The sequence below is a fragment of the Homo sapiens genome, chromosome 7 (genome assembly GCF_000001405.40).
Source record: "Homo sapiens chromosome 7, GRCh38.p14 Primary Assembly".
NCBI classification, from domain to species: domain Eukaryota; kingdom Metazoa; phylum Chordata; class Mammalia; order Primates; family Hominidae; genus Homo; species Homo sapiens.
Genome location: NC_000007.14, coordinates 118,833,138 through 118,851,461, shown reverse-complemented (window position 1 = coordinate 118,851,461; position 18,324 = coordinate 118,833,138).

Here is an 18,324-nt window from a genome sequence, read left to right as displayed (position 1 = left end):
TGTAAGATCTATACTCTTAACTGGTTTTTGTATTATTATACGTAAGTTCTGGAATACATGTGAAGAACATATGGGTTTGTTATAGGTATACACACACCATGGTGGTTTACCGCACCCATCAACCTGTCATCTACATTAGGTATTTCTCCTAATGCTGTCCCTTCTCTAGCCACTCACCCACTGACAGGCCCTGATGTGTGATGTTCCCCTCCCTGTGCCCATATGTTCTCATTGTTCAATTCCCATTTATGAGTGAGAACATGTGGTGTTTGGTTTTCTGTTTCTGTATTAGTTTGCTGAGAATAATGGTTTTCAGCTTCATCCATGTCCCTGTAAAGGACATGAACTCATCCTTTTTTATGGCTGCATAGTATTCCATGGTGTATATATGCCACATTTTCTTTATCCAATCTATCATTGATTGGCATTTGGGTTGGTTCCAAGTCTTTGCTATTGTGAATAGTGCTGCAATAAACATGCCTGTGCGTGTGAAACACCATTCTTAGCTGACACTTGTATAAAAATAGTCCTTGGCCTACTTTGTCCAGCAGACATTATTTTGTGAAACTCTGAGGACAATGCTAAGATACTTTGGAGCTGTTTCTTTCTCCCTCAAGGCTGCCTCACCCTAGAACGGCGCATTAATTCTCTAGAAGCTTGGTGTCCTGACTTGATCCTCTCTCTGACAATCTAGTGGGAGATTAAGCTAAAATTCCCAGTAGCTCCTCTCTGAAATGCCCCCTGAGCAGCATTCTGTAAGCTGTGGCTATGAGACGGACATGGAAATGATGACAACTTGTAAAAGCCAGTGTCGCATGGCCAAGGCTATTTCTTTGTCTCAGCAGCTGGCCAGCTCAATTATAATTAATCAGAACCTTTTATGCTCACTGAATTCATCATCTGTTAACACTTATTCAGGCACACCTATTTGTTAGGGCACTAAGTCAAAATCCCAGATCATGGCACTAAGGAAATCTACCTAAAAGGATGTTCTAGAAGCCTCACACTCACCCACCTAAGACTACCTCTTCCCTAAACTAATCCTAAAAATGCTTGGTTTGAATATGAAAACTTAGGGAGATTTTGTCAAAATAGTACTCAACATAATGTCAACAACTGATAATTTATGACTTTGCAAGAAATAATATCATAACATTGTATTTGTATCAGATTAACAGAAAGTTGTATTTAATTTAAACTATCTTTAATGTAATTTTACACCTTCTTAGATTATTTCTTTTGAAGCATGGTCATCAAATGTTACGAAGAAGGTCACATGCTGTTAAGATCAGAGCAATAGCATCTAGATAAAAAAAAAAAAAGCAATAAAAAAACCCTACTTCTTTCTGAAATTTCACTTCCCTTGTTATGGCAAACATACTTGGTTTTTACCTCAAATTATTAGTTTCCAAGCCTACAAAGAAATCCTTTTGTGCTGAAATTCCTGGCAGCTGGTCTAAAATGGTGCTAACAACAAGTGTTAATGATGTTAGAAAATACCAGATTCTTTCTTCAAACATAAGACACAATGTGCTTCACAAGTCTCTCCAGTTATATGTTAGCAAAATTCTTCATCATGTCTCTTTGCTTTTTTACTACATAATCAATTAATCAATGTTTCATTTATGGAGCCCTCAGTATTGTACTAGGCCAGGAAATTTCAACCCTGACTTTTGCATTTGCATCTCCTCTAGGAATCTTCCAATATTATATAGATTTCAGGGCTCTGTGCTAGATTTCCTGTGGAGTATAACTTTGTCATATTTTTATAATTACTTTCATATATGATTCTGATATGCATGTGGGATTGAGAAACTCTGTGCTTGGCCTTGTGGGAACACAGAAGGGCAAATAAAAGAGACTAGTTAGGAATAACCTAATAAATGTTAGTCTTTTGATGAGTTATTGTGTTATAATTTAATTCTCATTACTATTCTATAAAGGATTCAATTTTTCTCCTAGTATCAAAAATTATCCAGGAAAACAAAATTGCTTTTAATATGAAGTCATATCTCCCAAAGCCCATAACCTTTCCATTAGGCAAAGAAGCAAGCCCGCAGCTAAATTGAGGCAATGAAGCAATCAGCAACTACCAGAATCCTTTTGGCTTGATCCTTGCCCAGATCATGGGGTGCCTAGTGTCTTGGTTGCTACACTGGCTCCACTCAGCTGCAAGTACTTAAGAACATAACTTGCAGATTCAAGTCCACCCAGGGTTAATTTGTTCCTGCCTGACTAAGCCTTACAGAAGTAAAGAAAGTCTTATTCTCTAAGTGAGGTATAAAATACATTTTTTTCTCTCAAGCTTGGTATGTCTGGAAGAAGGCTCATAACACCTTTGATTATAAATATTAAATAAGATATTCTTTGTAAAATATCCAGCAAAGCGCTTGACATAGATAAGTATTTTAACGGACATACCCTTCCTCTTCCTACTACCCTCTACCCTGAAGAGGAAAAATACAAAACAAAACAAAAATACTTTGAGGCTTGCTGAATGCCAGACCATTAGACTGAGACACTGATGCCTTATTTACTTCCACAGGCTGGTGTCCTGTCCTATATGTATGACCGCAATCATCAGTTCTGTCTTGAAATTCCAACTACTGCATCACAGCCCAGGATTAGCTTCCCTATATGAATATTAACCACTACGATAGAGCCTGGTTAGCCTCTCTTCCTTGCGTATAATGATTTAAATGTTTGGCTATTTATTTGCAGAGCTATCCTATAGGATTAGAAGCCTTGCCCTGACCCTAACCACCCATCTTTCTCATGTAACTTTTCCTAGTCACATTATGCCACACTTCCATGTTTTGGATTTTGTAAATTATAAAGCTATGAAAAGAAGGAAAACTCCTGATTTGTTTACATTTTTACCAACTTCCTTTAAAGGTCAAGATAAAATATCCATTTTATAGAACACTGGCATGAACTGGCATTAGTACTACTCAATGCTGGATCTGATATTAATGCTTCATGTTCAACATGTATGGTAAGAAAAATAAAATTTGAAAAAACAGGCTTTTTTTCTTTTCTTTTTTTTTTTTTGCTTAAAATGTTTTCCAGACCCCAAATTCCAGTGAAACAGCTGATGCCAACCAGTCTGAAGACCTCTTTACAGAGGAAAAAATCAGCATGAGAAAACAGTTTCTTCAGCCTTCTATCCTATGACTTCACCCTACTCTTCAACCAATCAATGATTTCCACTCTTCAACCAAGTCTAAAACCCCTAAAACCCCTCTCTCCAAACTCCTTGAGGAGATGGAGTTGAGGTTTCCTCTGTATCCTCATCCAGCATCCCTACAATTAATCTTTTCTCTGCTGTTGTCTCTACATGTTGATTTCCCATGTGCTTCAGGCAAGGAACCTCTTAAGGTTACAAAATGAGTATGAAAATCAGTGTAGAGGAAGTCACAGAGGAAAAAAAAAACACTAGGTTGTTGTATGATGTAGTCTAGGGAGAGAATGTGGAGAAGAAAAAAATGTCTCAAAATGGATACTTTCAGGTGTTCCACCATTAATGATTAGTAGAAGAGGAGCCAGTAGTGGAATCTAGAAGGCAAGGCTATTTAATAGGAGAATTAAAAAGTGAGAGAAGTGAATAACAGAAACTAAATGAAAAAGTTGTTTTGGGATGGAAGGATGAGCTAACTCTCAGATATGAGAAGCTTCAAGAAGGAAGCCTTCATATAAGGAAAAATGATGTTACATAAATGATCACAGTCTTTTTCCTTTCTTCTCTTTTTCCTTCTTCTTTAAATTAGAATTTCAGAGCTCATTCTCAGAAATTTTAATTCAAAATGTCTGCAGCAGGATCTCCAGACCACAGATGATTCTTATTCAAGTGATCTGAACGCCACTTTTAGAAACATTGTCAGAGAATTATTAGAAAATAAATTGTTCCTTGCAAGGAAAAAAACATGAAAAAAAAACCCATTAATTTTCTCTAATCCCTAGGCCATTCATCTGCTTGTTAAATTTTCTAGAATTCCATGGAAAAGATAACCCAACAGAAAATAGAAAAGAGGAGTCAACCCTTGGTGTTCACCTTTTAAAAGTTTTATTCTCTGATATAAAAGAAAGGATCTCAAATGTATGGACAAAGAGAGAGTAAAACATTTGATGAGTAAAAGCAAGTCTTCCTATTTGTAAGAATAGAATAGACTTTCTAGGGTAAGTGAGAAGGAAAGCAGAGAGGGTGCAATTTTTGAGGGCTGAGATGAGGAAACCAGACCTGAAAGTACCATGTGGTGTGGTAGGAAATTGAGATAGCATTCACTATTTCCAGCCCTTACTCCAGTGAGCACATTCTGTTGCTAGCCACCAAGAACTGTGTGCAAACCCAGTTAGGACCAACAGGCCATCTAGCCTTCCTTTAAGAATATCATTTATTATCTATGCCATGTATCATCTGAACTTCCAATTGTGATTCACCAAAGCTCTTCCTCTGACAATGGCAACATACTAACAAGTATCCTGTGACTTTCTGATGGGAGTGATGCTCTGTGGCCTTGAAGTTCATTGGTACCTGCTCTGACTGGTCTCAGACAACCTCCAATTTGACAACCCTGGGAATTTTTAGCTCTTGAAGACTAAAGGAAGGCTATGGAAATCCATAAATGAGGCTGTAAGAAAGGAAAAGCTACCCACACATGCCTGAGAGGAATTAAGTGGAATTAGCTAGAAACTTAGAGTCCCCCAATCTGGGAGAGTACAAAAGCTGTCCACTGCATATTCAATTACACCATTTAATCATTCAACACATATTTATTGAGTTCTCACAATCCAGCAGACACTGTTCTGATCTACTCAGAGTGAGATGAGAAGCCATAGGTGATCCCTGAGCAGACAACTAACAAGGTTGGCCTTACTTTAAGTGAGATTTTCCTGCACTCTATGTTGAAACAAAAACAAAGGCAGGGCTAGGACCAGCTGTTTGGATATCGTCACCATCCAACCAAGAGATGATTGAGCTTTGACCACGGTGGCAAAGCTCACTATCTCTATTAGGTATAGAGAGGTTGTTGGATACTGGATTTTTGCAGGATGGTAAATATTAATGAAATGAGGGAGGCTAAATAGGTATGAGAGGAGTTGGCAAGACAAGTTAGATCTAAGCAGACAGGCTTAGGATGTTCTAGCTGCCTTCAGCCTTGGCACAGAAATTGCCTAGCCCATTTCCTTGGGGTCTTTGACCAAAAAACAATCTCTTCACCTTTTCCCAACTATCTGGACTCATGATAATTGAACAGATCACTCTCATTTTTATCTATGCAGGGTCCTATATCCTAAAGAAAAGAGCCATGAGTGAACAAATATGTAGATATAAATGCTAGAATGTGTCGTACTGACTGTGTGAGAGAAGCAAAGAATTTAAAGAAAGTTTGAACATGATAATCAAGTGTTTCATGGGAAAAGTGATCTTGGTCAGGGTTACGAAGGAAGCATAATTTATGAGGCGGGGGAGGAGGAGAAGTTCTGTAGTTGCTCAACAGACAGACTAAAACCTCTGAGGCATGAATGGCTAGGGCAAGTTCACTGGACAATCTGCCCTGCCTTAAGATACAAAATCTTATATGACTTTAGAAGAGTAAATTTAAGGAGAGTAGGAAATGGGGCTTTTAATGGGCAAATCTTCAAGAGAGAATATAAACATTTCTGTCAAAGGTATATAAATTGGAAAATAAATCTATCAAACACATATACTCAAGAGACACATATAAAGCTATTGTTTCTTACAATTTCTGAAGAGGTACAGTGGATTAGGCTACAGAATTAAGGGACTTAGTTTCTATAATTAAAAGAATATGCTTATTCAATTGTTTATCAAAGGTGACATTATACAAAACAATGAAGGATACATCACTTGTAATTTGTTAAGCCACTGTTAATACTACCCTGCTAGACACTTTACATGTGATGAGAAAATTGAGTCTATATGAGATTAAATAACTTGTCCAGGATATAAATCTTAGATTCTAACCTAGCTCTGTCTTAGGATATTTTTCATTGTTAATGCTTTTCCCAACAGGCCTGGGTCTGTCAGCATTTATGTAAGATCTTGTTCTCCAGTTTTATTTGCTGCTTTAAAAAATAGATAAATGGACTTATCCTTTCAACTGGAAAAAAAAACAAATAAGGACCTCTCCCTTAAAAACAAACAAACAGAAAGAACACATATATTACATAACAATAGACACTAGACATTGGGTATGAACAGACATCAGGCAACATTCCCTAGGAAATGATAAACAAACAAAGTGAGCCATATGATTATCCTAGCTTACTGTCTTGAGAGAGTTTTTAGGCAATGGCTCAAGTTTGGAAAATTTATTGAGTTGAAGGTGCAGAGTTGAGATTCCAGGGAGGCAAAGGAGAAGGTAGGGATCATAGGACCGACTATCAGAGAAGAGGAAACTGCACACAGAAAGAACTCCAGAATCCTGAGGAGGAAACAGTAGCCAGCACACATACATGTCTGGGAATTGTGATGTTCTAATTATTCAGACCGCAAAACCTCACAAGCCACAAGGCATTAGGTAGATTACAAAGAGGATATTGTCTCAGTGTTAGGAAATAACGAACCTTAGACTGAGTAGTGCTCTGGTCCCATTGAACAATAGGTAAAAACAAGATGTGACAGGATGAAACTGCTTTTAAGTAACATAAATGAGTCTCAGAAAAACTTAAGAAAATGTATAGGCATACAAAAATATCTAGCACCCAACATGGTAAAATTCACAATGAAGGACATTCAATATGACATGCAAGGAAAGTAGGACAATGTGACCCAAAATGAAGAAAAAAAGCTCAATTAATTGAAAACTAATAAGAACTGATAGAAATGTTAGAATTAGCAGACAAGAATATTGAAATAGTAAGTATAATTGTACTCCAAAGGATCAAAAATTTAAAGAGTCCTGAAAGGTAAAAAAAATGCAAATATAAATTCTAGATATAAGTTGTAATAACTACAATATATGAGATGGTAAATATAATGACTGAAATAAAGACAGAGTAGATGTTGCCAAAAAATGAATAGTGTACATGAAGATATAACTATAGAAACTATATAAAATAAAACTCAAAGAGTTAAAAGGCCTCAGAAAGCTGTGCAGTAACTTTAAGCAGCTTAATATACTTAATGTGAAAGAGATATGAGAAAGAGTTGCAGAACAAATATTTAACAAAATAATATGCATTTTTTCCCAAATTTCATGAAAGCTGTAAATCCACAGATCCGAATAATACAAGAAAGCTCAAGTGCAGAAATACAAAGAAAACTAATTAAAGACACATTCTAATTAGACAGCAAAAGTCAGTGAAAAAAAAAATTACTAAAGTTTCTGGGAAAACAAAAGACACATGATCTACAGATGAATAAATAGCAGATAAATGATAGCAGAGTTCTTACCAGACAAAGATATAAAAAGTCAGTAGAACAACATTTTAAAAATACTGAAATAAAAGAATCTACAAACCAAGAATTCAATGTCTAGTAAAAATACCTTTCAAAAATAAATGTAAAATAAGGTTGTAATTATTAGATGTATAACAGCTTAACAAATTTATTATCAGCACACCTACACTACAAGGAATATTAAGGGCAATCATCCTAGAGGAAGGAAATTGACACCAAATCAAATATGGATCTACCCAAAGGAAAGAAGAACATGAGAAATGGTAGCCCATCAGTAAAAATATAAGAGTTTATAGTTTTATTTAAATATCTATATTTAAATATTTTTATGTAATTTTTAAAAATATTTTTATGTAAATATAAAATATTTTTATTTAAATATTTTATTTTTTTATTTAAATATTTTTATTTAAATATTTTTATGTAAATATATTTTTATTTAAATATCTTTAAAATATTATTCGCTGTTTATAAACAAAAAGATGTAAATAGTGTGGAACTTTTAACATGAAAGTAAAACATTCAGGAGAGGAAAAATTTTAGTGTACTATTTTAAGGTTCTTACCTAATGTTAGTACAGTGTCACTTATCGTTAGACTGTGATAGATAACTATAAATCAGAAAACGTCAGGTAAAATAAAAAGAGAGAGAGAAAATGACAATAAGTCAATGAGAGAAAAATGAGACCCTAAAATATTTAATCTAAAAGGAGAACAGGAAGAATGGAAAAAAACCCAAAAACCTATAGAGACAAATATTTTTTAAAAAGCAATATTTATACCTAATTATTTGGATAAATCACACTAAATATAAATAGTGTCTATGTACAAATTAAAGAGGAGGTTATATTGAATAAAAATAGCAAAACTCAACTACATGCTGTCTACAAAAATGTATTACAAATATAAAGTAACAAATACGTTAAAAGAGTATTATAAAAAAACATACTGTACTAACACTAATAAAAAGAAAACAATGGTGACTACATTAACAACAAAGTAGATTTCAAAACAGAGTATTACTAAGAACCAAAAATAAGGTAACATGGAATTAATAAAAAGGTCAATTCAAAAAGATAACATGCCAATCCTAAATGCTTTCTGGAGCTTCAAATTATGTAAAGAAACACTGATAGAACTTCAACAAGAAATGAACAAACAAATAAATACAGGCCAGGATTTTAATACCTCTTTCTCAATAATTGATGGGAAAAGTAGGCAGAAAATCAGTACAAATATAAAAGATGTGAGGAACAGTACCCACCAAGTTGATCTAAATAAACTTTTTGGAATATTATCCCCAAAGACAGTAGAATACAGATTCCTTACTAGCGCACAAAAAATTTACCATGACAGACCATATTCTGGGTCATAAAATAATTCACAATACAAAGAATGTTCTCTGACCACAGTGAAATTATTAATATAATAGACTATCAATAACAAAAAGAAAAAACAAAAGTATATCAAAATTTAAAAAAACCATTCTTCTAAAAACTCATAAGTCAAAGACAATATCAACAGAGAAACTGAAATGCATTTTAGCTTAATGAAAATTAAAATACAACACATTCGTTTTGGTATGCCAGTAAAGTATTATTAGGGTGTATTTATAACAATAAATACTTACAGTGGCAAAAGCAAGACCTCTCAAATAAATAACCTTTGTTTTCACCTTAAGAAACTAGAAAAATAAGTCCTGAAAGTCCTAGCCAGAGTAATTAGGCAAGGAAAAAGATAAAAAGCATTCAAATTGAAAAGGAAGAAGTTAAATTGTACCTGTTTGCAGATGGCATGTTCTTCTATAAAGAAGACCCTAAAGACTGCATTAAAAAACTGTTAGAAGTAATAAATGAATTTAAAAAGTTGCCAAATACAAAGTCAACATCCCCAAATCAACAGCGTTTCTATAAACAAATAGCAAACTATCTGAAAATTCAATCAAGAAAATAATTTGATTTAAAATAGCTACAAAAATATAATCCCTATCAAAATATCAACGTCATTTTTTTCAAAGAAATAGAAAAACAATCCTGAAACTCATATGTAACCAAAAAGCTCACAAATAGCCAAAGCAATGTATAACAAAAAGGTGGGGGCATCACATTACTAGGCATCAAAATATGCTACAAAGCTATAGTAACCAAAACAGCATAATATTGGCATTAAACCAACATATAGAACAATAGAATAGAATAGAAAACACAGAAACAAATCCGTGCATTTACAGCCAACTGATTTTGGACAAAGTAGTCAAGAACACAAAATGGGGAAAGAAGAATCTCTTCAATAAATGGCTTTAGGAAAACTGAATACCAACATGCAGAGAATGAAATTGGACCATACAAAAATAAACTCAAAATGGATTAAAAACTTTAATGTAAGTCCTGAAGCTGTAAAAATACTGGTAGAAAATACAAGGGGAAAGTTCCGTGGTATTGGCCTGAACGATAATATTTTTGGATATGACCCCGAAAGCACAGGCCACAATAGCCAAAATAGATAAATGGGATTACACCAAACTATAAAGCTTCTGTTCAGCAAAAGAAACAGTCATCAGTGAAAAGACAACTTGCAAAATGAGAGAAAATATTTGTAAACCATATATTGTATAATGAGTTAACATTCAAAATATATAAGGAACTAAAACAATTCAATAGCAAGAACACAACTTGTTTTTGTTTGTTTGTTTTTTGTGAGACAAAGTCTCGCTCTGTCGCTCAGACTGGAGTGCAGTGGCGCTATCTTGGCTCACTGCAAACTCTGCCTCCCGGGTTCACGCCATTCTCCTGCCTCAGCCTCCCGAGCAGCTGGGACTACAGGCGCCCACCACCACGCCCCGCTAAGTTTTTGTATTTTTAGTAGAGACAGGGTTTCCTCGCGTTAGCCAGGATGGTCTCAATCTCCTGACCTTGTGATCCGCCCGCCTCAGCCTCCCAAAGTGCTGGGATTACAGGCACGAGCCACTGCTCCAGGCCACAACTTGATTTTCAAAATGAGCAAAGACCTGAATAGACATTTTTCAAAAGAAGACATACAAATGGCCAAGAAGTATATGAAAAGATGCTTAACATCACTAATCACCAGAGAAATGCAAATTAAAACCACATTGAGAAAGGACCTCACACCTATTAAAATGGCCATTATCAAAAAGAAAAAAGTAAATGTTGGTGAGGTTGTGGAGAAAAGAGAACCTTTGCACACCGTTGGTGGGAATGTAAATTAGTATAGCTATTATGGAAAATGGAAAGGAGGCTTCTCAAAAAATTAAAAATGGACTTTTTCTATTATCCAGCAATTCCAGCAATCCCACCACTGGGTATGTATATCCAAAGGAAATAAAATGAGTATGTTAAAGAGATATCTGTACTCTCATACTTATTTCAGCATTATTCACAATATTAGGACATGAAATCTACTTAAGTGTCCATCAGTCGATTAAAGAATAAAGAAAATGTGGTATCTATACATAATGGAATACTATTCAGCTATCAAAAAAGAGTAAAATTTTGTCATTTAAAACAACATTGATAAACCTGGAGGACATTATATCAAGCGAAATAAACTAGGCACAAAAAGACAAATACTGCATGATCTCACCCATAAGTAGAATCTAAAAATGTTGATCTTACAGAAGCAGAGAATAGAATGGTGGTTACCAGGGACTGGGGCAATGGTGTGATATGGGGCTGTGAAGATATTGGTAGAAGGTTACAAAACTTCATTTAGATAGGAGGAATAAGTTCTACTGTACAACATGGTGACTGTAGTAAATAATGATATACTGTGATCTTGAAATATGTTTAAGAGACTATATTTTAAGTGTCCTTACCACAAAAAAATGACAACTTTTTGAGGTAATACATATGTTAATAAGCTTGATTTAGTCATTCCACAATGTGTATATATATATATATTTCAAAACAACATGTTATACATGATAAACATATACAATTTTATGTCAATTAAAAAAATTAGGCCAGTCATGGTGGCTCACTTTCAGAGGCTGAGGCAGGTGATCACTTGAGCCCAAGTATTAGAGATCAGCCTGGGCAACATGTTGAAACCCTGTCTCTACAAAAAAAAAAAAAAAAAAAAAAAATTAAATTAGCCAGATGTGATGGTGTATGCCTGTGTTCCCATCCGCTCAGGAGGCTGAGGTAGTGGTGTTGCAAGTGGGCCAGTTCAGGTTCTTGATTTGGCTGCACAAAATAATTTGAGAGTGTGTCCAAAGTGAAAGTCATTAAAGACGTTTATTGCAAAGTGGAAGTGCACTCTGAGAGCTGATCAGAGCAGGCTGCTCAAAGCAGGTGCAACTGGTGAGACAGCACCATATGGCACTGAAGAACATCCCTTTATGGGAATTTTACATGATGATTCACAAAGGGATGGGAAAGGGTGTTGCTATTCAGCATGTTATTGGTGGTTTCTTAAACCTGCATGCAGAGTGGCTGTACGTGCTAGTATATACATCACATGTCTCATTAGCATCTAAAATCTCCACCGTGGGTGTGTTTTTACTATTATAATGAGCACAGGTCAGCCCAAGGACACTAATCGTAGGTTTCTGCACTTGCAAAAATTTGGGAATTTTTCCTTCTGCTCTTCTACTTCTTTGCTGCAGAACATTCTAACCATGAGTCCATGATGCTGTTTGTACGTTATTGGGCAGTTTGTTTTATCCATCCATTTGGCATGTGTTTTCCCCTTTAAGTAAGGCTGTATGACCACTCTGTCCAATCTACCTCAGGAGGATCACTTGAACCTGGAAGGTTGAGGCTGCAGCACACCATTATCACACGACAACACTCCAACCTGGCCAACAGAGCAATACTCTTGTTTAAAGAAAATAAATAAATAAAAATTCAAAAAGAAACTATTAAAATAAAAATAAGACTCAACGTAAGGAGAGTTGAAATAATAAATATTTGAAAATAAACCAGTAAAATAGAACTCAAAAAATAATAGAGAAAATCAATGAAACCCATTACAGAAAATTAATAAAATTGTTAATCCTTTATTTAGATTGGCTGGAAAAAGAAACACAAATTATCAATTTATTTTCCAGTGGCACTAAAAGCTTAATAGGGAGACATTATGAACAATAGGGAGATATTATTGGAACAATAAATTTAGTAACTTAAACAAAATCGACCAACTTATTGAAAGATACCAACTACTAAAGGTTACTCATGGAGAAATAGGTATACTGAACACCCTCATATCTCTTTTTAAAAAATGACCTTGCATTTAAAAGCCATTACAGAGAGAAAACTTGAGAAACAAATGGCTTCACTAGTGATTTCTATCAGACATTCAAACAAAAAACCATACCAATGCTACAAAAATTGTTCCAGAAAATAAAAATACAGAAAATACTTCCCAATTCTTATGGGACTAGAATTAATGTACTACCAAAACGATATAGATATTACAAGAAAAGAAAAAAAAGACCGTATGTCTCATGAACAGAAATTTTTAAAAAAGCCCTAAACAATACTTTAGCAAGTTGAATACAATATGAATAATAAAGACAATATATCAGAGTCAGCAATGCAAGGTTGGCCTAACATTAAATAATCAATCAGTATAATTCATCATTTTAACAATCTAAAAAATACTTAAGAATATCTCAATAGATGCAGCACAATCATTTGACAAAATCCAGTACTCACTGGACAGACTTTTGTCACAAACAATTTTCTGCTCTGTGGGCCCAGCAGACCTTGTCCCAGGCCATTGTGTGTTCTCCAAGTCCACTTATTTCCTCCTAAAATTCATTTTGTGTTTCTCAAATTGCCACATTTTCCCCATTTCCCCTTCTGCCATGAAGAAGGGTACATAAACATCTATATTCCACTGGGAAGTTGGGTAATTGTTCTCCTGTGTACTTCTGTGCTGTGAACATTAAAATAAAATGTATATGTCTTTTTCCTGTTAATCTGCATTTTGTCAGTTGATGTTTAGCAAACCTTCAAAGGATGAAGGGGAAGTTTTCATGTGGCCGTATAGTTTGCACAGGGAAAAAATGTACTGTGTAAGTATTGGTATTATCTGTAGGTTTGGGCATACACTGGAGGTCTTAGAATGTATCCCCCATGAATAAGAGGGAATTATTGTATCTTGAGTGAATATTGTCAGGCTTGAAACAAAATGATCATTCAGGTGCTGTAATATTGTAAGGAAGTTTTCTCACAGCAGTATAGGATCCTTATTCTGAAATTATGTATATACCAGAATTCAACAAATAAGTAAAGATAATATAGATAATGAGAGTCAGGTTTCTCACTGCTAGAAAAAAATTATAAATAGGAAAAGGTGAAGGCTAAAATGAACTATAAAGAACTGCATTGGAATGACAGGCATCAGTGTAAACTTTTAGTTTTATATATATATTATACCATATGTGTATAATTATTTTATTTTATTTTATTTTATTTTATTTTATTTTATTTATTTACATGGAGTCTTGCTCTGTTGCCCAGGCTGGAGTGCAATGGCATGATCTCAGCTCACTGCAACCTTTGTCTCCCAGAGTCAAGCAATTCTCCAGCCTCAGCCTCCCAAGTAGCTGAGATTACAGGCATGTGCCACCACACCCAGCTAATTTTTGTATTTTTAGTAGAGACAGGATTTAGCCATGTTGGCCAGGCTGGTCTCGAACTCCTGACCTCAGATGATCTGCCAGCCTTGGCCTCTCAATGTGCTGGGATTATATTTTACATAATATATAAGTCAGAGTTAATATGTAAGAAAGTTAGTAAACATTCATATATTCCTTAGCTCTGGTAACTAAGCGGGCATAACAGCAATGACACTACAATAGCACTGAACACACAGTTGAAAGTCATGCTGATTCAGACTGCACCCAGGTAGGCCAGACTACAAACCACAGATTGGGTACTGATTTGCTCTCAACGTCTCTCATTTTACTTGAACAAGTGGATTAGTCAGGACATCTTCTCATAATGAAAGCAAAAGCAGAAGAGAGAATATATACTCCATAAAGACATTAAGAGCCTGATTTGTATGACATCTGTTAGCACTACATTGACCAAGGCAACTTGGGTCTCAATGTCAAGGGACAGAAAATTACACTCTTCCCATTGTGGTAGGAGCTGCAACATCACACGGAAAAGGGCTTGAACACAGAAAGGTTTTTAAACAATTGGGACAAATAATTCAATGTACTACAAAATCATTTCTTGGGGGGTATTTTTGGAATCCTTTGAAAGGAGTAATTCTAAAAGTCAGTAAATGCATAGAATTCCTGCCCAGGAATATATCTACTTGTATGAGGTATAACCTGAGATTTTGAAAGTAGAAGTACAGTCTTCGTGCTAATGAAAATTACATCCTAACTTGAGGTCTATTGAAATACAAGATATCCAGGAAAAAGAAAAAAAGATTGTGTTGCTTTACCTGGAGGTTGCCAACCATTAAAAAAATATCGTATTGCTTTACCTGGAGGTTGCCAACCATTAAAATATTTCCAAATGGCGTAACATGAGATAATAGAATCTATGTGAAGCTGTTATTTGGTAACTCCCAAGGAGTGTGATGGTGGCACACCACTATTTGGCGTATATAAATTCCTAATTTATACACCATTAGGATTTTTTTCTCCTTCGGTCAAAAGAAAATGCTAATGGCTAAGACTATTAGATTCTAACATGACACCAAACTATCATGAAAACTAGGGTTAAGATAATATGTTTCACACCACGTAACAACAATTTTACTTTGAAGCAAATTACCTGGCAGAGGACTGCTCATGGATTTGTCTATATCAAACAGAGAGATATGACTATTCCAAATGTATAAAGTATTCTGTGCCCCAGAGCAAGCAAATTTATCAGTAGTACCTAAAGATAGCTTGGAAGAGTAGATCAGAAAGAAAGTTAAGTAATTCAAATAGTTTAAAAAAAAACACCTTTTCTATAGAAAAATAAATGCAAATGTATGATGGAGAAGCAAAATTAGCACCACTTTTCATCACATGTAAATGTAGCATGATATAAATTGCAAAGTTCAGTGAGAGGAAATTGAACTTCAGAATTTACCCTGAGACTTCTTGGGTAAAATTTATTCACTAGCCTTTGACAATACTTCAGTAAAAATGTTTGCATGTTACTTTGTAAAGTCTATCAATATAAAGGAATTGGAAACTTTACCAATAAGTATTGAGGTTTCATATATATATATATTATATATATATATTATATATATAATATATATATATAATATATATATATTATATATATAATATATATATAATATATATATATACACATACATGTGGTTCAGTCATTTTTAGCATGCCTGCAGAACTATGCAAATATAATCACTAACTAATTGTAGAAGATTTTCTATAGTTTCATAAAGGGACCCTATACTCATTAGCAGTCACTCTTCATTGTCCCTCCCCAAGCTTCTGGCAACCACTAATCTACTTTCTGTATTGGTTGGCCTATTCTGGATACTGTATATATACATACAACATGTGTTCTACCTTGACTGGCTTCCTTTACTTTACCTAATGTTTTCAAGACTCATGTATTTTATAACATAACACTTCATTCCTTTTTATTGCCAAATATATTCTGCTGCATGGAAATGCTACATTTTTTTTTGTCTACTCATCAGATGATGTACTACATTTGCAGTTTCCATTTTTTTGTTATTATGAATATGCTGCTATATATATTCATAAAAATGTCTTATGGGAAGTATAATTGCTAGGTCTATGGTAACTATATAATATTTTAAGAAAATATAAAATTGTTTTTCACAGGAGCTGTAGAATTTTGCAATCCCACCAGCTTTTTGATTATTCTGATTCCCCTATATTCTTGAAAACACTTTTTATAATCTGACAATTTTTTTAAATTGTCATATTAAAGACAGAGTTTCACTCTGTCACTCAAGCTGGAGTGCCGTGGTCAATCATAGCTTACTGCCACCTCAAACTCCTGGGCTAATGTGATTCTTCCACCTCGGCTTCCCAAGTAGCTGAGACAAAAAGCATGCATCACCACACCTGGCTAATTTTTAAGATTTTTTTTTTATAGAGATCGGAGTCTTATCATGTTACCCAGGCTGGTATCGAACTCCTGGCCTCATGCAATCCTCCTGCCTCAGCCTTCCAAAGTGCTGAGATTACAAACATGAACACCCATGCCCAGCCTCATCTGACAATTTTTTTAAAGTTATACTCATTTTAGTGGGTTTTATGGGTATATCATTATGATTTTTTTTTGCCTTTCTGTAATGATTATTATGTTGACTATCCTTTTTATGTGTCTTTTGACCATTTATGTATCTTCCTTGCTGGAATGTACAATTAGATCTTTTGTCAAATTGATACAAGAATCTAATCAGATATATAATTTGCCAATATTTCCTCCAATTCTGGGGCTCGTTTTTTACTGTACTGATGGCAACTTCTGAGGCAAAAAATAAAAAAGTTTAAATTTTAAAGAAATCCAATCTATTTTTCTCTTGGTGGTTTTGACATAATATTTAAGAAATAATTGACTTACTAAAAGTCATAAAAATTTACTCCTGAGCTTTTTTCTAACAGGAATTTTTGTGTTTTATCTCTTACCTGTAGATCTATGACTTATTTTCATTTAATTATTTTAAATGGTTTTGGGGAAAGGTCCTATTTTTCATTTGCACATTGATATTCCATTGTCCCATCACTATTTTTTTTAAAGATTTTTATTTCCCCAACTGAATTTCCTCTGCCCTTTTTAAAAAATGAATTTATTTTATCATTATAAATACAAGTTATTAACTTTTAATCTATTGATTTATATAGCTATCCTCATGCTAGCACCATGATGTCTGATTACTGTAGCTTTGTAGATAGACTTGAAATAAGAGTGTATTTCCTCCTTTGTTTTCCTTTTTCATAATTGTTTTTGCCTCTTTTGGGTTCCTTGTATTTCAACATAAATTTTAAAGTCAGTTTGTCCATTTCTGAAAGAAGAAATCTGAGACTTTGATAAAGATTGTGTTGAATCTGTATATCGATTTGGAGAATATTCCTATCTTAAAAATATTAAATATTCCATCTGTGAATATCAAGTGTCTTTCCATTTATTCATCTCCTTTAATTTCTGTCAACATAGTTTTTGTTGTTTCTAGTGTACAAATCTGATATTTCTTTTGTTATTTCTATGTATTGTGTTCTTTTTGTGGCAAATGTAAATTAACTTTTTTATTAATTTAATTTTAAAAATTCTTTTTGCTGGTGTATAAAAACACAGTTGATCTTTTTATATTGATGTTTTATCCTGCACCCTTACTAAAAATCACTTATTAATTCCAACAAATTGTAGTAGAGCCTTTAGATTTTCTATGTACTAAATCTAGGTTTTCTAAGTATAGATTGCTTTATTTACTCTTTTCCAACATGATTTTTCTTGTTTTTTTCTTGCTTAATTGTTTATCTAGACCCTCCAGTACAGTACTGAACACAAGAGGTAAGAACAGACATATGTGTCTGCTTTTTTATCTTAAGGGAAAAACATTCTGTCATTCAGCTAATATGATATTAAGTGGGCTTTTTTCTTATGCTTTGCTTAGGTTGGGAGAGCTGCCCTCTATTTCTAGTTGGCTGAGTGTTTCTATCATGAAATGAAATTGCATTTGTCACATGACATTCTATTAAGATTATCATGTACTTGTTGTCTGATTTTTGAACATTAAACCAACCTTGCCTTCCTGGGGTGAATTCCACTTGGTCTTGGTGTTCAATCCTCTTTGTTAGTTGTTGTATTCAGTTTGCTGGTATATAATTGGGATTTTTTGCATCATACTTATAAGGAAAATTGTTTTTTGTTTTCTTTTTGTGTGATGACTCTCTGGTTTGAGTATCAGAGTTACTTGACCCAT